This window comes from Homo sapiens, chromosome 10 (genome assembly GCF_000001405.40).
Source record: "Homo sapiens chromosome 10, GRCh38.p14 Primary Assembly".
In the NCBI taxonomy this organism is placed as follows: domain Eukaryota; kingdom Metazoa; phylum Chordata; class Mammalia; order Primates; family Hominidae; genus Homo; species Homo sapiens.
In genome coordinates, this window is record NC_000010.11 from 30,298,321 (window position 1) to 30,316,855 (window position 18,535).

At 39.4% G+C, this 18,535-nt stretch overlaps 1 protein-coding gene and 2 pseudogenes across 1 annotated transcript in view; all 3 read right to left on the reverse strand.

Annotated features, from left to right (window-relative positions):
* RNU6-598P (RNA, U6 small nuclear 598, pseudogene) lies at nt 1,249–1,353 on the reverse strand (annotated as a pseudogene).
* Nucleotides 3,503–3,752, reverse strand: EEF1A1P39 (eukaryotic translation elongation factor 1 alpha 1 pseudogene 39; annotated as a pseudogene).
* Nucleotides 11,481–18,535, reverse strand: part of MTPAP (mitochondrial poly(A) polymerase) — a 39,478-nt gene continuing 32,423 nt past the window's right edge. The window contains exons 7-9 of the mRNA NM_018109.4: nt 17,798–17,890; nt 17,643–17,716; nt 11,481–15,651 (exon numbers count right to left, since the gene is read on the reverse strand). Coding sequence (NP_060579.3) covers nt 15,289–15,651; nt 17,643–17,716; nt 17,798–17,890 — 530 coding nt within the window. The 3' untranslated portion in view covers nt 11,481–15,288. The remainder of the gene's footprint in view (nt 15,652–17,642; nt 17,717–17,797; nt 17,891–18,535) is intronic.

An 18,535-nucleotide genomic window follows, 5' to 3' on the forward strand; every position in this document is an offset into this window, starting at 1 on the left:
TTCGATGGCTTTTATTTCTTTCTCTTGTCTGATTGCTCTGGCTAGGACTTCCAGTACTATGTTGAATAGAACAGAATAGAAGTGGTGAAAATGGGCATCCTTGTCTTTTTCCAGTTCTCAGAGGGAATGCTTTCAACTTTTCCCCATTTCGTATGTTGGCTGTGGGTTTGTCATATATGGCTTTTATTACTTTGAGAACTCATTTTTTAATGCAAAAGATTTGACCAAACACCTCAATAAAAAAGATGTAAATATGGCCAGTAAGCACGTGAAAAGATGGTAAACATCATTAGCTACCAGGGAAATGCAGATTAACACCAAAATCAGACCCCATTACATGCTCATTTGTAATAAAGTATCTGACTCCAATTTTGATTTTGGTAGCTAATAGCTTTGACGCTCACCTCTCCTTCTCCTGCCAAACAACTGGGAAAGCTGATAAGAAAACTGGTGTTCCCTTCTTTAATGCCAGTGGGAAGTTTAAACCACACAACCCTGACCTATGTTTAAGAATCTTCACTTCTTCACCCGCCTCTTAATCACCATTGAATCCCCAAGCCAGTCTCCTTCCCTTGCTCTCTCAAGCCATTTTCTTTGTTGTTGTTGTTTTTGAGATGGGGTCTCACTCTGTCACCCAAGCTGGAGTCCAGTGGCACAATAGCAGCTCACTGCAGTCTCGACCTCCCTGGCTCAAGTGATCCTCCTGCCTCAGCCTCCTGAGTAGCTGGGACCACAGGCACATGCCACCATGCCTGGCTAATTTTTTAAAATTATTATTTGTAGGCCAGGTGCAGAGGCTCACGCCTGTAATCCCAACACTTTGGGAGGCTGAGGCAGGAGGACCGTTTCAGCTCAGGAGTTTAAAACCAGCCTGGGCAATATAGCAAAACCCCATCTCTATTAAAATTCAGAAAAATTAGCCAGGCATGGTGGTGTGTGCCTGTAGTCCCAGCTACTTAGGGGTACTTGGGGGGCTGAGGCAGAAGGATTGCTTGAGCCAAGGAATTCGAGGCTGCAGAAAGCCCTGATCATGCCACTGCACTCCAGCCTGGGCGACAGAGCAAGACCCTGTCTCAAAAAAATAAATAAATAAATAATTTTTTGTGGAGACAGGGTCTCACTCTGTTGCCAAAGGTGGTCTTGAACTCCTGGGCCCAAGTAATCTGCTTGCCTTGGCCTCCCAAAGTGCTTGGATTACAGGCCTGAGCCATTGCACCCGGCCTCTCAAGACTTTTTTTTTCTTTTTTTTAAAATATGGAATGCTTCACGAATTTGCCTGTCATCTTGTGCAGGTCTATACTAATCTTCTCTCTATCACTCCAATTTTAGTACATGTGCTGCTGAAGCGAGCACTCAAACCATTTTCAAACCAGCTGGGAAGCCTTCCCTGATCTTCTCAGAGACTCATTACGTAACAAGTCCTGTCACATCTTTTGGGGTGTGTATGTGTGTGTGCGTGGCATTATCAATATTGGGAATCTGAACCAAATTCTGGGTGAAGGTCCATCCTTCTTATAAAGAGTGACTATAACATCATTAAATGGCTAAAATTTAAAAGCCTGATGATATTAAATGTTGGTGAAGGTGAGGAGGAAGTAGAACTATTAATATATATATCATGAGAAAGTGAAATTTAAACCCACTTTGGAGAACAATTTGACAACTTTTTGAAAAGCCAAATATATATATACTATGTGATGCATTACTTCCACTCCTAGGCATTTGCCCAAGAAAAAGGAAGCATATGTTCATATAAAGACTTGTATATGATCGGTCACAGCAGCTTTACTTATAACAGCCCCTAAACTGGAAACAACCCAAATGATTAATAAAATGGAACACTATTTGGCAATAAAAGATTGAACTATGCCATTATTGTGCCACTGCACTCCAGCCTAAGCAACAAAGCGAGACCCTGTCTCAAAAAAAAAAAAAAATTGAACAATCAATATATGCAAAAACATGGATGAAACTCAAGCAGATTAAAAGAAGTCAGATAGAATACATACTGTATCTTCCCCTTATAATATTTTTTAGAATATACAAATATCTATGGTTATAGAAAGCAGTTAAGTGCTTGCCTAGGGCCTGGGTTGGGAATGGAGCAGAGGCAGAAAGGAAGAAGAGGGAGGGATACAAAGATGCATCACGAAAACTTTGGAGGTGACAAACATATTTAGTATCTTGATTTTGGTGATTGGTGTATATGTCAGAACTTATGTAATTGTATATTTTAGATATGCACGGTTTCTGATATGCCAATTACACTCAATTTGAAAAAAGGCAATAATTTCATGGCGAGTTGTTGTTGATAGAAAAGAGCTTCATCCATGGTATCCATGGGGATTGTAAAAATAAATCAATAAGAAAAAAAAAAGAAAAGAGCTTCAAGGACTGTTCCTTGGGCATTTCAGAGATCTCCTATCATATGATATTACCTTCAATTTCCTCCTTTTTTTTTCTGAATTCCATCTTCCTCTTTCTTGATTTGCTCTTTCATTTTGATGGAAGACACCCCTCAGTGAAATAGTAAGGGTACTTCTGTAAAAATATTTTTTCCAGCATCAATTTATGACAGTTTGGCTAGGTATAGAATTCCAGGTTAGAATTCTTTCTCCACCAGAACTCTGAAGGCATTGACCATTATCTTGCTACTCCATGATGATGTTAAAAAGATCAAACCTATTTTGATTCCTGATATATTCCTTTTCATACGCCCTTTGGTTCCTTTGTACATAATCTTTCCTTCTCTCCCCATCCCCCATCTCCCTGGAGACCTATAGAATCTTCTAATTGCACCCATCAAAGTTCATGGTAATGTGCTTTAGTGTGAGTTTATTTTTACACATTGTGCTGGTTACTCAGTGAATGCTGTCAACTTGACAGTGCGTATCTTTCAATTCTGGCAAATTTTTTTGTTGATGATTTTCTCTATTATTCAGATTTTGGACCTACTGCTTTGCTCCTTTAATTTGCTTACTTTTTCTTCTTGTTTTCTCTCTCCTACTATCTTTCTTTAATCTTTTTTGGGGGGAAATTTCCTTAACTTTATCCATCAGCCTTTATATTGTGTTTTAAAATTGCATTATTATATTTCATTTTTCAAGAATGTTTTGTTCTGAGTGTTTACTATGTATATGTATGATTCTGTTCTTTAATGAATGCATACATTCACTTGTTTCTCCAAGTATATTCTCCCTCCAAGTACAGGAAAAGTTTTTATCTTTGAGAGGCTCTTGTTCCTGTAGAGTTTCTGTCCTTCGAGTTACTTTGTTTTGGTTTCTTCCATGTTAAGAGGCTCTTCTGATATTGAGTGCATAATTTCTTTACTGCTGCACAAATTCTCAGACTTGGTGGCTTAAAATACCACAAATTCATTATCTTACAGTTCTGGAGGCCAGAAATCCTAAAATCAGGGTGTTGGAAGAGCTGTATTCCTATGGAAGCTCTAGAGAATGTTTCTCTGATGTGCTCATAATCATGCTTTTTTAAAAGTCTGTTTTGGAGCATCAGTGATGGTTACATAATACTTGCTGGTCTCCAGTTTCCACAGGAGTTAGCAATGGTGAAACCATGCTTACATTCAGCTTTCAGTTTTTACAAGACTCAGACATACTTGAAGGAGGCCTTTTCCATCTTGGCAGCCTCCCCCTCAAATTTTTTGATGGTTCTTTTGTCAATCAGATGGTGGGCTTGCCTGAATCTACATGTCCAATGACGGCAATGTTGATATGATTCTTTGTTTTTCCCATTTTGGCCTTAACCCATTTATGCCAAAGGTTGCAAATTTTGGGTGGTGGGGGGGGTGGAATCAGACCTTGGCAATGACCTTGAGCAGGATATAAATGACTCCCACAAGCTTAGCGTTCCAATAATGGAACATTAGGCATAAATGGGTTAATTTAGTGGTGGTTTTCACAATACATATATTTTGGTGGCAAACTTGTTATGAATAAAGCTCTCACAGTCTCCTTTTGGCTGGGACTGATACCCTTGACTTCTTGTTGGCTGTCAGCAGAAATTGCTCTCAACTTTTAGAAGCCACCCTCAGGTCCTAGCCATATGGCCCTCTTAAACATGGCAGTTTACTTCTTCAAAGCCAGCAGGAATTTCTCTCTCCAGCCTACTAAGAAGGAGTCATATTATATAACATAATCACAGGAATAATTATACCATCACCTTTGCAATCTAATGCAACCCAATCAAGGCAATGACTATTCCATCAAATTCAGATTGCAATCACACTCATGGGGAGGAGATTTTCCAGGGTGTGTGCTCCAGAGGACAGAAGTCTCGGAGGTCAGTACAGAATTATGCCTAAAACATCATGCATTAGTTTGAATCTTTCTTTTAGAAAAAGTAGTTTAAAGATTTAGAATGGAAGTTGAGTTCCTAAATTTTTCTTGCTACCATTTCTCAATACCTTTAGAAATCAGTAGCTAAGAACATGATAAGGGAAAGAAAGTAATGTGTATTGATTACCAAATATATACCAGGCACTGTGCTAGGTCCTTGACATTACAGTTTATTCAATATCAGAAAAGAATTACATTTGAACCAAGGAGGTACTATAAGAAACATGTAACCAAATCAGAGTGTTCTGAATACTGGTAAGTGCAGGTAAGAAAATTAGACAATAACAATCGTCATTAAGTTGAAAGGCTATATCTAGTATTTTGAAAATTTCCTAAAAGTATGATTGGGTATGATTTTGATCGTCTTGGAAAACAAATACTCTACATTTCCCAGTGAAATTTGAACATTTTTTCTTTTTAAAGCAAAACAGATTTTAGTTGCACAGAATTTAAAAGACTGTAGCTTATGTAACTAAATTTAATGTCCTAAAATATTTTCTCCTAAATCATGCTGCACATATTTTATTAATCTATGAATAAAATCTATTCCAGGATGGCACTGCACATATTTAATCATAGTCAAATCTTTCTTCATCTAGAAGATCCAATATAGCTAATATTGCTTAGAAAATAGGAACTACAGAGAGCTTTAGAATTAAGAAATATTTTAAACCACATTTAAATTCAAGTATTGTTTAACGCAATTTTTATCCTGAAGCATCAAGATGGAAATACTGTCTTTGTCCAGAGCAATCAAAATTAAAACATCAAATAATTTCAATTTTTCACATAATTTTATTAAATATTTAAAGACTTGAATTAAGGTCTCTGACAATATAATAGTGCTAGAATGTATTTAGCAAATTAAAAATACGAGTTGAAAATTAACTCAAAATAATAACAGCAATTTTTGTTAATTCTGTTACTAAACAAATGTGGGCTACTGAATGTAACTGAAAAACTACAAATATAAACTAGTCATATATTATAGAAATAACTGACTCATAATATACAAACACCTAAATTATTTCACCTATGTAAAAAATTTGTTTTATTCATGAATAAGATATCCTAAAAATAACATATGCTTAAAGTCCAAAAGAGATTTTTTCTAAACTCATAAATCATAAAATTTTAAAAAAGCATTTTGGCCTAAAATGCTCCATTCTTGGTCTCAACCCAGATAAGTATTTCGGAAAACTGGAAGAAAAACTGTATTTCATAGTTGTTTCAGGTATCTCAATGTGGATGGGAAAAGGAGATATTTTTCTCATTCTTATTTGAGCATTTTGTGCACTTATTCACACATGGCACAAATTTAAACTTTGAATTGGCATGTACAAAATCCTCTATGAGGAAATCACAGTCTAGATATAAAAGCTGGCAACTTCTGATTTCTGGAGCATAGCAGAACATTTGCAGTGCCCAGCTTTCATTAGCGGTGAACTAGGCATTCATGTTGGCCAAATTTTGTACTGTTATCCAAAGCTTAATTGAACAGGCACCAGCAAATGAGACATTTGAAAGCTTCTTACAAGGAAGCAAACTAAATAGTACACATTCCTATAAGATAAAATATATATAAGGATCAGAAGCTGGAGTAAAAAAGAATGATGTCCAGTAATGGCAGACTAGGTAATATCCATCAACTCTCTCACTGAAGGAAAACAACCAGAAAAGCTTGGCAAAACAGGCTGGGCGCAGTGGCTCATGCCTACAATCCCAGCACTTTGGGAGGCCGAGGTGGGTGGATCACCTAAGGTCAGGAGTTCGAGACTAACCCGGCCAACATGGCGAAACCCTGTCTCCACTAAAAATATAAAAAATTAGCTGGGTGTGGTGGTATGTGCAGACAGAGTGAGTCTCCATCTCAACAGAAAAGAAAAGGAAAAGACAAGACGGAGGGAGACAGAGAAATAAAGAAAGAGAAAGAGAGAAAGAAGCTTGGAAAAACAAAAACAGCTGCTTGGGGAGAGAGAGAGAGAGACGGGGGTGGGGAAAAGGAAAGGAAAAGGTAAGGAAGGAGGAAGGAAGGAAGGAAGGAAAGAGAGAGAAAGAAGCTTGGAAAAACAAAAACAGCTGCTTGAAAGCATCCGACTGCTAACAAAGGAGTGAAAAATTACAAAATTGTGAAGAAGTAGACTTAAGCAAGTGAGCCTAGCATTTGGGGTTGCTACCCGCTAGGGACATCTGCTGATGAAGTAGATCAGAGGGGAGCAGAGGTTTCAAAAAACTTGCAGGGATAGGAGACAAAAAGGACTTCAGGGCCCACCAAGGAAAAGGGACCCTGGTCAGCACTCCAGGTTTTGGACTGAGATCTTCCCCACCACAGTGCAAGTTAATGATGAACTAGAATCTGGAATTGAATCCAACTTCAAAATCTCAAACCCTTTCTGGATTAAAGTGATCCAGGATCATAAATACCCCTACCCATCCCCCAGAAACAAAAGTAAATCCTTTCTGAAGGAAGAGAAAACATCATCCTCCCTCGAAGTAATTCCTACTATTTCTCCCATCCAGTATCAACACACAAAGCCACCACTGCCACCACCAGGTATACCAGGAGAGAAGTCAACATCATGAAAAACAGAAACAGACCCACAGGGGAACCACATGATCAACTTCTCAGACACAGGCTTTAAAATAACTGTGTCAACCTGAAAAAAATATACTGAAATTGAGAATTCAATAAATGGATTTTTAAAATTAGACACAGATGAAAAAAGTTGATAAACTGCTATATAGGTCAGAATTCTGGCCAAACACAGTGGCTCATGCCTGTAATCCCAGCACTTGGGGAGGCCGAGGCGGGTGGATCACCTGAGGTCAAGAGTTCAAGACCAGCCTGACCAACATGGTGAAACCCCATCTCCACTAAAAATACAAAAATTAGCTGGGTGTGGTGGTGGGTGCCTGTAATCCCAGCTACTCAGGAGGCTGAGGCAGGAGAATTGCTTGAACCCCGGAGGCGGAGGTTGCAGTGAGCTAAGATCATGCCACTGCACTCCAGCCTGGGCGACAGAGCAAGACCCTGTCTCAAAAACAAACAAACAAACAAACAAAAAAGAAGTAAATTCTTGGAGTGAAGGGAGACACAAGAGTAGAAAATACAGGAAAGTATAGAAGAGACATAGGGAATTAAGCAAAAAGACCTAATAAATGTTAAGTGGAATCCCAGAGGAATGAAGGTGAATGTAGCCAAAGCAATATTTGAAAATTGTTGAGTTTTCTACAACTAATAAAAAATATTTTCAAGTCATTAAGTAATGTTGAACAGCTTATGTGAACAATGTTGAACAATCATATGTGCTGACATCATCAGCATAATCTATGTTGTAGGAACTCCCTAAGACAATCCCCTATCTTCAATAAATTGCAAGCGAAAAAAGAGATGAAGTATAAACCTGGAATCTAAGAGAGTTAAGAAACAGACCATCCAATCACAATATGTGGACTCTAATTGGATACTGATTCAAACAATTGCACTAGGAAAAAGCCATCGTGATATCCACAAGACAATGGGGAGCTTGAACAGTAATCAAATACGATGATATTATTAGAGAATTACTGTTTTTGTTTGTTCCATTTTGGTCTGACAATGATTTTGTGATTATATTAGAACAAAAGTTATCTTTTAGAAATATTACATACTTACAGATGAAATGGCAGAATGGAATTTGCTTAAAATAATACAGAAGTGGTAAGTTAATGGGGTTATAAATTAAAAGCAATTGGCCATGAATTAATTGTTGAAAGAGGTGACGGATGTGTGCCAAGTTCATTACGCTTTTCAATTTACTTTTGCCTGTGTTCAAAATTCTCCATAGTAAAGTTTCATACAATTATTAGTGAGCTTGCTTTCCTTGCTAATCAGCCAGTTTCATAACCCACCCCTTTTACTCCAGTTTTCAAGACAGGGTAGAACTAGAGAGAAATGTCAATATGCTTTAATTTTATAAGAGGAAAAGCTTCAGAAACGTAAGACTTCCGTTGTACCCAACAAGTTTAACATGTTAAAGAATTTTAGTGACACGGAGCATGATGCAGGCTTAATGTGGAATCTTTTCATTAGTTTGCTCCATTTTATTTGACAGCATCCATTACAGTAACTTTTCAATGTGCCACACTTCAAAATAAACCCAGGCAAAAGTAACAACCTATAATTTTATTTTTCACTAATAATTAATTAAATTTATTTATTTTTGAGACAGAGTCTCACTCTGTCATCCAAGCTGGAGTGCAGTGGAGTGATCTCATCTTACTGCAACCTCCAACCCTCAGGTTCAAATGATTCTCCTGCCTCAGCCTCTCGAGTAGCTGGGATTGGGCATGTGCCACCACGCCCAGCTAATTTTTGTATTTTTAGAAGAGACAGAGTTTCACCATGTTGGCCAGGCTGGTCTTGAACTCCTGACCTCAAGTGATCCGCCTGCCTTGGCCTCCCAAAGTACTGGGATTACAGGAGTGAGCCACTGGGCCTGGCCTACTTTTCATTAATTTAGACTTGGCCTGTTCCAAATTAGGTATTTTCCCCATACCATGTATTCATCATAGTATAGTATCTAGAGTTTCAAGTTAGATTTTTTCTTTTTTCTTTTCTTTTTTTTTTTTTTTTTTTTGAGGTAGAGTCCTGATGTCACCCAGGCTGGAGTGCAGTGGCACAATCTCAGCTCACTGCAACCTCCGCCTCCCAGGTTCAAGCGATTCTCCTGCCTCAGCCTCCCGAGTAGCTGGGATTACAGGTGCCTGCCACCATGCCCAGCTAATTTTTGTATTTGTAGAAACGGGGTTTTGCCATGTTGGCCAGGCTTGTCTGGAACTCCTGACCTCAACTGATCCACCCGCTTCGGCCTCCCAAAGTGCTAGGATGACAGGCGTGAGCCACCGCGCCCGGCCAAGTTAGACCTTTTTAATACTCTCTTTAAAATATGCCTTAGCACCACATTCTAGAAGCTTAGAAACTCTGCTATGGGGGAAAATTTTTGCAACATATTCATCTTAGAAAAATGAATAATGCTTTTAATCTAGCTTTGACTCCACTGAGTACCGAAAGGGGGTGGATACACACACAGATAACATAAAACACGAGCAATCACATTTAAAAGATAAAGTACATTTTTTAATAATTTGTGGTGATTTGATATATCCTGTATCACAAATACTATAGATTAAAGATTCTATCTACAGTACTTTCTGATAGTTGCTACATGGGAATTCCAGAGGAACACTGTAATGTTTATATTCTTTGGAATCCGTATCCACAAGTAATTGAATTCATTGTGGAAACCCAAATAAGTCTTTCAAGTATTTAAAATAAATTTGCCAAGATGAAAAGGGACTTCTGGTCGTGTTTTCATTCTTTTCCAAGTATATATGTAAAGAATTTTTCATTAATAAGGCTTTACATACAATCATATGTAAGCCATGAGCTGTTACTTCCTGCTGATAGCTTTAAACTACTTAAGCTTTACTTTCTTATTAAACACTAAGGAGAAAGACTCTTCTGAGGCATATGAGAGACAGTCACCTTCTGGCCTTTTGTGGAAAATTTAACAGCCAAATTTTATCTAACTTAATGATAAAACCTATACTCAAGTACTCAAATTTGTTGTTATTATTATTTTTGGCTGAGATGGAGTCTTGCTCTGTTGCCCAGGCTGGAGTACAGTGGCATGATCTCGGCTCACTGCAACCTCCATCTCCCGGGTTCAAGCAATTCTCCTGCCTCAGCCTCCTGAGTAGCTGGGACTATAGGCACTCGCCACCATGCCTGGCTAATTTTTGTATTTTTAGTAGAGACAGGGTTTCACCATGTTGACCCGGCTGGTCTTGAACCTCTGACCTCATGATCTGCCCGCCTCGGCCTCCCAAAGTGCTGGGATTACAGGCATAAGCCACCGTGCCCGGCCAAATTTGTTATTTTTAAAAGAAAGGAATCATGGCTGGGCATGGTGGCTCACACCTGTCATCCCAGCACTCTGGGAAGCTGAGGTGGGCAGATTACTTGAGTCCAGGAGTTCAAGACCAGCCTGAGCAACATGGTGAAACCCTGTCCCTGTCTCTACAACAAAATACAAAAATTAGCTGAGAGTAGTGGGGCACACTTGTAGTCCCAGCTACCCAGGAGGCTGAGGTGGGAGGATCGCTTGAGCCTGGGAGGTGGAGGTTGCAGTGAGGCTGAGATTGTGCCACTGCAGTCCAGCGCAGCCTGGGCAACAAACTGAGACGGTGTCTCAACAACAACAACAACAAAAAAGCCATGATCTAAAACTACTAGGTATCAACAGATTAATCATCTAAAAGCTGCTTTTTTATTATCCCTTTGCATGAAAACCATCAATGGGCCGGGCGTGGTGGCTCACGCCTGTAATCCCAGCATTTTGAGGGGCTGAGGCAGGCAGATCACCTGAGGTCAGGAGTTTGAGACCAGCCTGGCCTGCATGGCAAAACCCCATCTCCACTAAAAATACAAAAATTAGCTGGGTGAGGTGGTGTGTGCCTGTAATCCCAGCTATTCAGGAGGCTGAGGCCTGAGAATTGCTTGAACCCAGGAGGTAGAGGTTGCAGTGAGCTGAGATCGCACCACTGCACTCCAGCCTGGGCAACAGAGCTAGACTCTGCCTCAAAAACAACAACAACAAATCATCAATGATTTACCAATGAAGATATACTCAACCTCCTTAACTTGAAATTGGCAGTTCTTCCCCATCTTGCTCAACCTTAACTTCTGCGTATCACATTAAAAACTACATCCTAGCCAATCTGGACCCCTAGTTCTCCAAACATATGACAGCTACTCACCAACTGAATGTCAAACTCTGCAAAGTGGAGTTGCTACTTCAACAAGATGCATCTGCTTGGAAGCTCCTTCTGGCTTTGCTGCACATATTCAGTGTTTGCTTATTTACACAGGCAAATGTAGCATTTCCCTACCACGGCACCAGGAGGCTCTAAAGGGATGAATATGGCTGTACTTGGAAGGCCAAGGAAATCCTAGGAGCATGGAATGAGGTGGAACAATCTAATTCTGCTCTCACCTGACTACAGCGTAAGCCACCTGAGTAGAGCTCTACACCTGACTACAGCAAAAGAAAGACGCCAATAGGAAATGACAGCAGAAAAAAGTCTTATTTCAACTCAACTTTATTTTCCCTTCTCCTTTATGGTAACTGAAGGTGAATGAGATAATTACACACAGTTTTCCTATAACGTTTCAGGCTAATCGTTATTTCCTAGAAAGTCTCTGGCTAATTCTCAAATTTTCTAAAGATGGATAATAGCTCCAGGAATTATACTAGTGGGCTATAGCTGAAATCGTTTTGATCTGGGTAGTCTCCTATCAAAATTACTTTCACATACTTAGTAAAACTCATTACAGGTGAAAGCTACTGAATGAAAGCCTAGTAATAGTTATAGAAGAAAAAAACTTGAAAAAAGTTTTACTTAACATTGCAATTATTTTTAATTAAGAAACAGCAATGACAAATAATTGCTAGTTATCACTATCACGTAATAAAAATATTTTAAAAATCTGGGTTGTGATACACTAAAGTTATGAGAAAATATATTTGTCTGTAGTCTATATTCAGTTGAACAGACTTTAAAACTGTGTATTAAAAGGTCTTTGCAGCCAGGCGTGGTGGCTCATGCCTGTAATCCCAGCATTTTGGGAGGGCGAGGTGGGCAGGTCACCTGAGGTCAGGAGTTCGAGACCAGCCTGGCCAACAGAGTAAAACCCCATCTCTACTAAAAATAGAAAACTTAGCCAGGTGTGGTGGCATGCACCTGTAATCCCAGCTACTCAGGAGGCTGAGGCAGAAGAATCACCTGAACCCGGGAAGTGGAGGTTTCAGTGAGCCAAGATCACTGCACTCTCCAGCCTGGGTGACAGAGGGAGACCCATCTCAAAAAAAAAAAAAAAAAAGGGTCTTTGTAGGCCAGGTGCGGTGGCTCACACCTGTAACCTGTAATCCCAGCACTTTGAGAGGCTGAGACAGGTAGATCACTTGAGGTCAGGAATTCAAGACCAGCCTGGCCAACATGGTGAAACCCCGTCTCTACTAACATACAAAAATTAGCTAGGCATGGTGGCAGGCGCCTGTAATCCCAGTTACTTGGGAGGCTGGGGCAGGAGTATCGCTTGAACCCAGGAGGCAGAGGTTGCAGTGAGCCGAGATCGCACCACTGCAGTCTAGCCTGGGTGACAGAGCAAGATTTGCTCTCAAAAAAAAAAACAAAAAACAAGTCTTTGTAGATTTAAAATTAATCACATAATTAAATCTGATTCTGAAAAGTAAAACAGCCTAGTGTCAAGGCTGTCCTACAAATTACCAAAAAGAAAAGAAAATGCTAACCCATACACATACTTTATGTGCTTAAATAACCATATTACACCTAGCACCAACCTAAAAAAGAAAATATCTGACTAAATATCTGTGAACAGAAAAAAAAATTTCATTTAGAAACCCTTAAGTGGTTTATGCTTTTTAAGCTTTTTAAATCAATATGGATTTCTAGCCCAACAAAATAAAGAACAAATGAAAAATGGCTTTTAAAGACATCGCCTGTACAGAACACTGATATTTGTTGGTGTCAAATGTGCAATCCAATAGCACAGACACAAGGACACAGAATTCATTTGCTTCATAACAATGCTGAGTTTCTTAAAATATCCCATGCAGAACCCATTATAATTTCTGACATAAAATTTAAATGGGAAAAATTTTTAAAGTACTACAAACTCTAAATCTGAATTTTGAGTAGCAAAAAAGGTAATTACATACCACAAACACCGAAAGGCAACAGTTAAAGAGAAGTAACATTTACTTCGCGCCAGGAAAATGCACTGACCTAGCATTTTCCTACATCCCTCGCTTAATCCTCACATTGATCTGATCATGATCCCCATTTTACAGATCAAACAGGGGCCCCAAGAGACTGAGTAACTTGTCATTGAGCCAGTCTCGCTCAAGTCTGTTTTTAAACACTATACTACTTGCTTCTTTTCCTTTGAGAGAGTCTCACTGTCGCCCAGGATGGAGTACAGTGCTGTGATCTCAGCTCACTGCAGCCTCTGCCTCCCAGGTTCAAGCAGTCCTTGTGCCTCGGCCTCCCAAGTACCTGGGACTACAGGCATGTGCCGCTATGCCCAGGCCTTACTTGCTTCTTAAATAGAAAGTTACTCCACAGAAGCCAGGTGCAGTGGCTCACGCCTGTAATTCCAACACTTTGGAAGGCCAAGGTGGGCGATCACCTGAGGTCAGGAGTTCGAGATCAGCCTGGCCAACATGGTGAAACCCTGTCCCTACTAAAACTACAAAAATTAGCTGGGCTTGGTGGTGGGCGCCTGTAATCCCAGCTGAGGCAGGAGAATCACTTGAATCCGGGAGGCGGAGGTTGCAGTGAGCTGAGATTGTGCCATTGCACCCCAGCCTGGGCAACAAGAGCAAAACTCCGTCTCAGAAACAAAACGAAACAAAGCAAAAAAGTTGCTCCACAGAGAATGTAATGGAAATTAAATTTCAATATACAGTTGCCCATTGAACAACATGGGTTTCAACTGCGAAGTCCATTTACACACAGATTTTTTCCAACCAAACTTGGATTGAAAATACAGTATTCTCGGCCAGGCATGGTGGCTCACGCTTGTAATCCCAGCACTTTGGGAGGTTGAGGTGGGCTGATCACGAGGTCGGGAGATCGAGACCATGGTGAAACCCTGTCTCTACTAAAAATACAAAAAAATTGTCCGGGCGTGGTGGCGGGCACCTATAGTCCCAGCTACTCAGAGAGGCTGAGGCAGGAGAATGGCGTGAACCTGGGAGGCAGAGCTTGCAGTGAGCCGAGATTGCGCCACTGCACTCTAGCCTGGGCGACAGAGCGAGACTCTGTCTCAAAAAAAAAAAAAAAAAAAAAAGAAAGAAAGAAAATACAGTACTTTCACAGGATGCAAAATCTGCTTATGTGCAAGGTGGAATTCTCCCATGCACGGGCTCCACAGGACTGAAGGAGTTCAGTGTGTGCAGATCTGGGTGTACGTGGATGGTCCTGGAACCAATTTTCTGCATATACTGAGAGACAAATATGTCTCTTTCCTGCAGGAAGAGGGGAGTTCTCAAAAGAGATGTGAAGGAATACTGGGAATATCACATTTTAGTTAGAAACAGAATTTTATTTTTGAAAATAGAAAAATCAAACAATATTTTTAAAATGCAATCTATTGATGTCATCATATTTGGTTTGGAATACCTAAGAATGCAGTGACTGAAATGTCTGTTCTAAAAACATAAACATTTTTTGATATCAGTACCAACCCACTTTAATTTATATGTGAATAAGAGAACTTCGCTTGAAAAATACAAATATACATATTCGAGAGCACTACCAAATTTTGAAGCTTAATGTATTCATTGCCAACGTACTGTACATAACTAAAAGTCATTTTAAATGTTTTCTAAACAGGGACTGATGTGGATATCAACAATGGTTTCATCCTAAAACTGAGTTTTAGCATTTGTTTAGTATATTTACCTATTTAGTTAAAGCACATTACAATAATCTTTCACCCATTCCTTGTGGCTTATGTTTATTTTCATTTTTTTTAGAGATGGAATCTTGCTATGTTGTCCACGATGGATTCAAAATCCTGGGCTCAAGAGATCCTCCTGCCTCAGCCTCCTGAGCAGCTGGGACTACAGGTGTGCACCGCCACACTCCACAGCTGATGTTTTAATAAAGTGCCACTGAGTATCAGACTGATCAAACTGAAAACATCCCAGAACTTCAGACCAGGTTAAGGGGGCCAATGAGAAGATCATGAAAAGTGACATCAGATGAAAGCTGAGATCTGTGAAAGTTTCAAATCAGTTTTTCCAAGTAAGTCCACAGACCATTTGATAGGCTAAGCCCAGTTCTTTACACAATGTAGCAGCCATCATGTCTGAGTACTAATTGTTCTCTTCCCACTGGTTTTTGTGAAATTTTCTGTTCTGTTACCTTTTAAAGATTCTAGCAAGTTTTTGACTGTTTCAATTGCAAACTTATTGCTTTTCTTCTTGGTAAAGGACTTTCTGTTTGGAGCAGATGGTAGCAATAGGGATACCAGCCCCCAGGGCCGATTACTTGATATGGAAGGTCGATCTGTATCTTCCTGTTGTAAAATCCAGGCACTTTCTCGGGCCAAATCTACAAATTTTTGCAGCTGGCTTTGACTTACATTTTTGCTTATGTTGAGAGAAGTTTCAAATGGATTCTGAATGTACAGAGGAGAAGAATCAGGTTTGTTTTGCTCCCTTCCCTATAGATTATTACACAGAAGAAAAAATGAGTAAGTACATGAAGGGCTTAAATATAAAAACAGTTAACTCAATAAAATGTCAAAACACATAAAACACCAGCATTAACTTTACATAGCAAAGAATTTCTTTCTCAGGGGATTGAGTATGTATGCATGGTGGGTGTGTGTACTTCTCATTTTTTGTTTTTTTTTTCCCTGTTGTAAGTTTTATGAGTGTTCTTTGGAGAAATAACTTAGGGCTTATCATCTATGGATGATGATGTCATTGCTCAGAGAAGAGGTATCTGGACTAACTCAACCGACAAAAGTATTTTTAAAATAATATAACTTTTACCTAACAAGGTAGAGCATGAAAGGGAAAAAAATGATTAAAAAATCAGAAAGTAAGATGAAGATACGTTTATTTCTGAGACTTGCTAAAAGCATACCTATTATGGTAGAAACAGGAACACACAAAATTAGAACCCTTAAATTAAATATATTAATTAATGTTTCCCAAGTATGAGATGAGGAAAAAGAGGAGGAACAAAGGATTATTCATTATTTATTTAAAACACTAAAAAGTTTCCATTATCTTCCTATAGATCCAACAAAAGGGCTCTGCCACATAAGATAGTATCTCACAGAAATAAAAAAGATAACTGTAATCCAAGCATTTTGGGAGGCCGAGGCAGGTGGAACACCTGAGGTCAGGAGTTCAAGACAGGCCTGACCAACATGGTGAAATCCCATCTCTACTAAAAATACAAAACTAGCCAGGTGTTGTGGCGCATGCCTGTAATCCCAGCTACTTAGGAGGCTGAGGCAGGAGAATCACTTGAACCCAGGAGGCGGAGGCTGCAGTGAGCCAAGATCATGCCACTGCACTCCAGCCTGGGCAATACAGTGAGACTCTGTCTCAAAAAACAAAAACAAAAAAAAAAAAAAAAAAAAAGAAGAGAAAAGAAAAAGAAAAGCTAAAGCTATGAATCATATGACTAACATAAGCCATTAGTCTATATATCTTTTCCTCTTTCAAATGATACCATAAATTTACTTAATTAACTATTACAAAGCCAATGGTCAAAATTCCCTGATGTGAGCAGCAGCTGTTATATTCCCTAACTTATTTCATGCTTGGCATCTCTGAGCTTTGGAGTACAAAAAAGGTGACGAACTTTGTATGCTTATGACTTTTTCCTTCTAGATAGCATTTGCAAAGCTTTCCGAATGAATCCTTTCTCTCTCCTCTCCCCAATCTTTTATTTTAACAAAGAGTCCATGAGCAGGTAAGAGGGAAGGATGAAAAACGGAGAGGTGAAGAAATAAGGAGAAAGTATATCTGGGTTTGTGTTTTATGAAGCCAATCTTGTAAGGTTTGTAATCAAGTAGCCAAATGCTAAACAGAATAAACCCAAACAGAGGGCTATCCCAAGTTATCTCCCACTTGCAAACAAATTTTGTCTAGACTTCTGCCTGAGTTTCTTTTTGAAAAGAAAAAATGTCTTTCATCCCAGCTGCTCAGAAATCCAAATCGTAAGTTCATTTGCTCAAAAAAAAAAAACAAAACAAAACAAAACAAAACAAAAAAACACCTAAATCCTAAGGGCTCAAATTGAGGGAATCACTGAAATCTATCTTTGGGACTTAAGTTTATTCCATAGACACAAATCCAGTTTAAAAACAGCTGTATGTAAATAATAGTTTTCAGGAAACTTTCTGGAATGTATTCCACATCATGAGGGATACAGTATTACACTAAGTGAGGACAGAAGTCCCATGGCATAATAACAAGGCAGATGCTAAAGAGCTGGCTTTTACTATTTGGCATAAAGGGATGACTGATCTTAGTCAAGTCATGTAACTTCTCTGGACATCAACCTCCTTGTTACTACAAATTACTACACAAAAGAAATAAATAACATTTATTAGAGTGTTTTGAAAACAGTTAATTAAATATTAGTACAGTGGAAGACCAGATACTAATAACTAAATAGTAAAACATTATTTACCTGTCGAATATTTATGGAATTTTTATCGAAAGCAAAATTGCCAAAATACTCAAAAAATTCCTTCAGTAGTAATTCTGTAAGAAAATAAAACAAGGACAATCAGAGGAAAGCCTGTTTCAATCCAGAAAGGATCAAGTAAACAGAAAGACACTTACCTAATGTTTCTGTGTTCTGTGAAGGTTTAATTCTACTCAAGTCACGAACAAATGTGCAGTTGTTGCCTTCTATTACACATTTATCTTCTGCATCTTAAACACAAACAAAAAATATTTCACGTGTTTTTTTTTTTTCTTTGCCTGAGATGGAGTCTCACTCTGTCATCCAGGCTGGAGTGTAGCGGCATGATCTCAGCTCAATGCAGCCTCCACCTCCCAGGTTCCAGCAATTCTCCTGCCTCAGCCTCCCGGGTAGCTGGGATTATAGGCACATGCCCCCACGCTCAGCTCATTTTTGTATTTTTAATAGGGATGGGGTTTTACCATGTTGGCCAGGCTGGTCTCGAACTCCTGACCTCAGGTGATCCACCCACCTCATCCTCCCAAAGTGAGGGGATTACAGGCGTGAGCCACCGCACCCAGCCTATTTCACATATTTCAAAGATATTCCCTACCTCAGAATACAAATCTATGATTTAAATAAATTTAAGGCCAGGCGCGGTGGCTCACACCTGTAATCCCAGAACTTTGGAAGGCTGAGGCGGGTAGATCACCTGAGGTCAGGAGTTCGAGACCAGCCTGGCCAATATGGTGAAACCCCATCTCTACTAAAAATACAAAAATTAGCCAGGCATGGTGGCTTGCTCCTGTAATCCTAGCTACTGAAGAGGCTGAGGCACGAGAATCGCTTGAACCCAGGAGGCGGAGGTTGCAATGAGCTGAGATCACATCACTGTT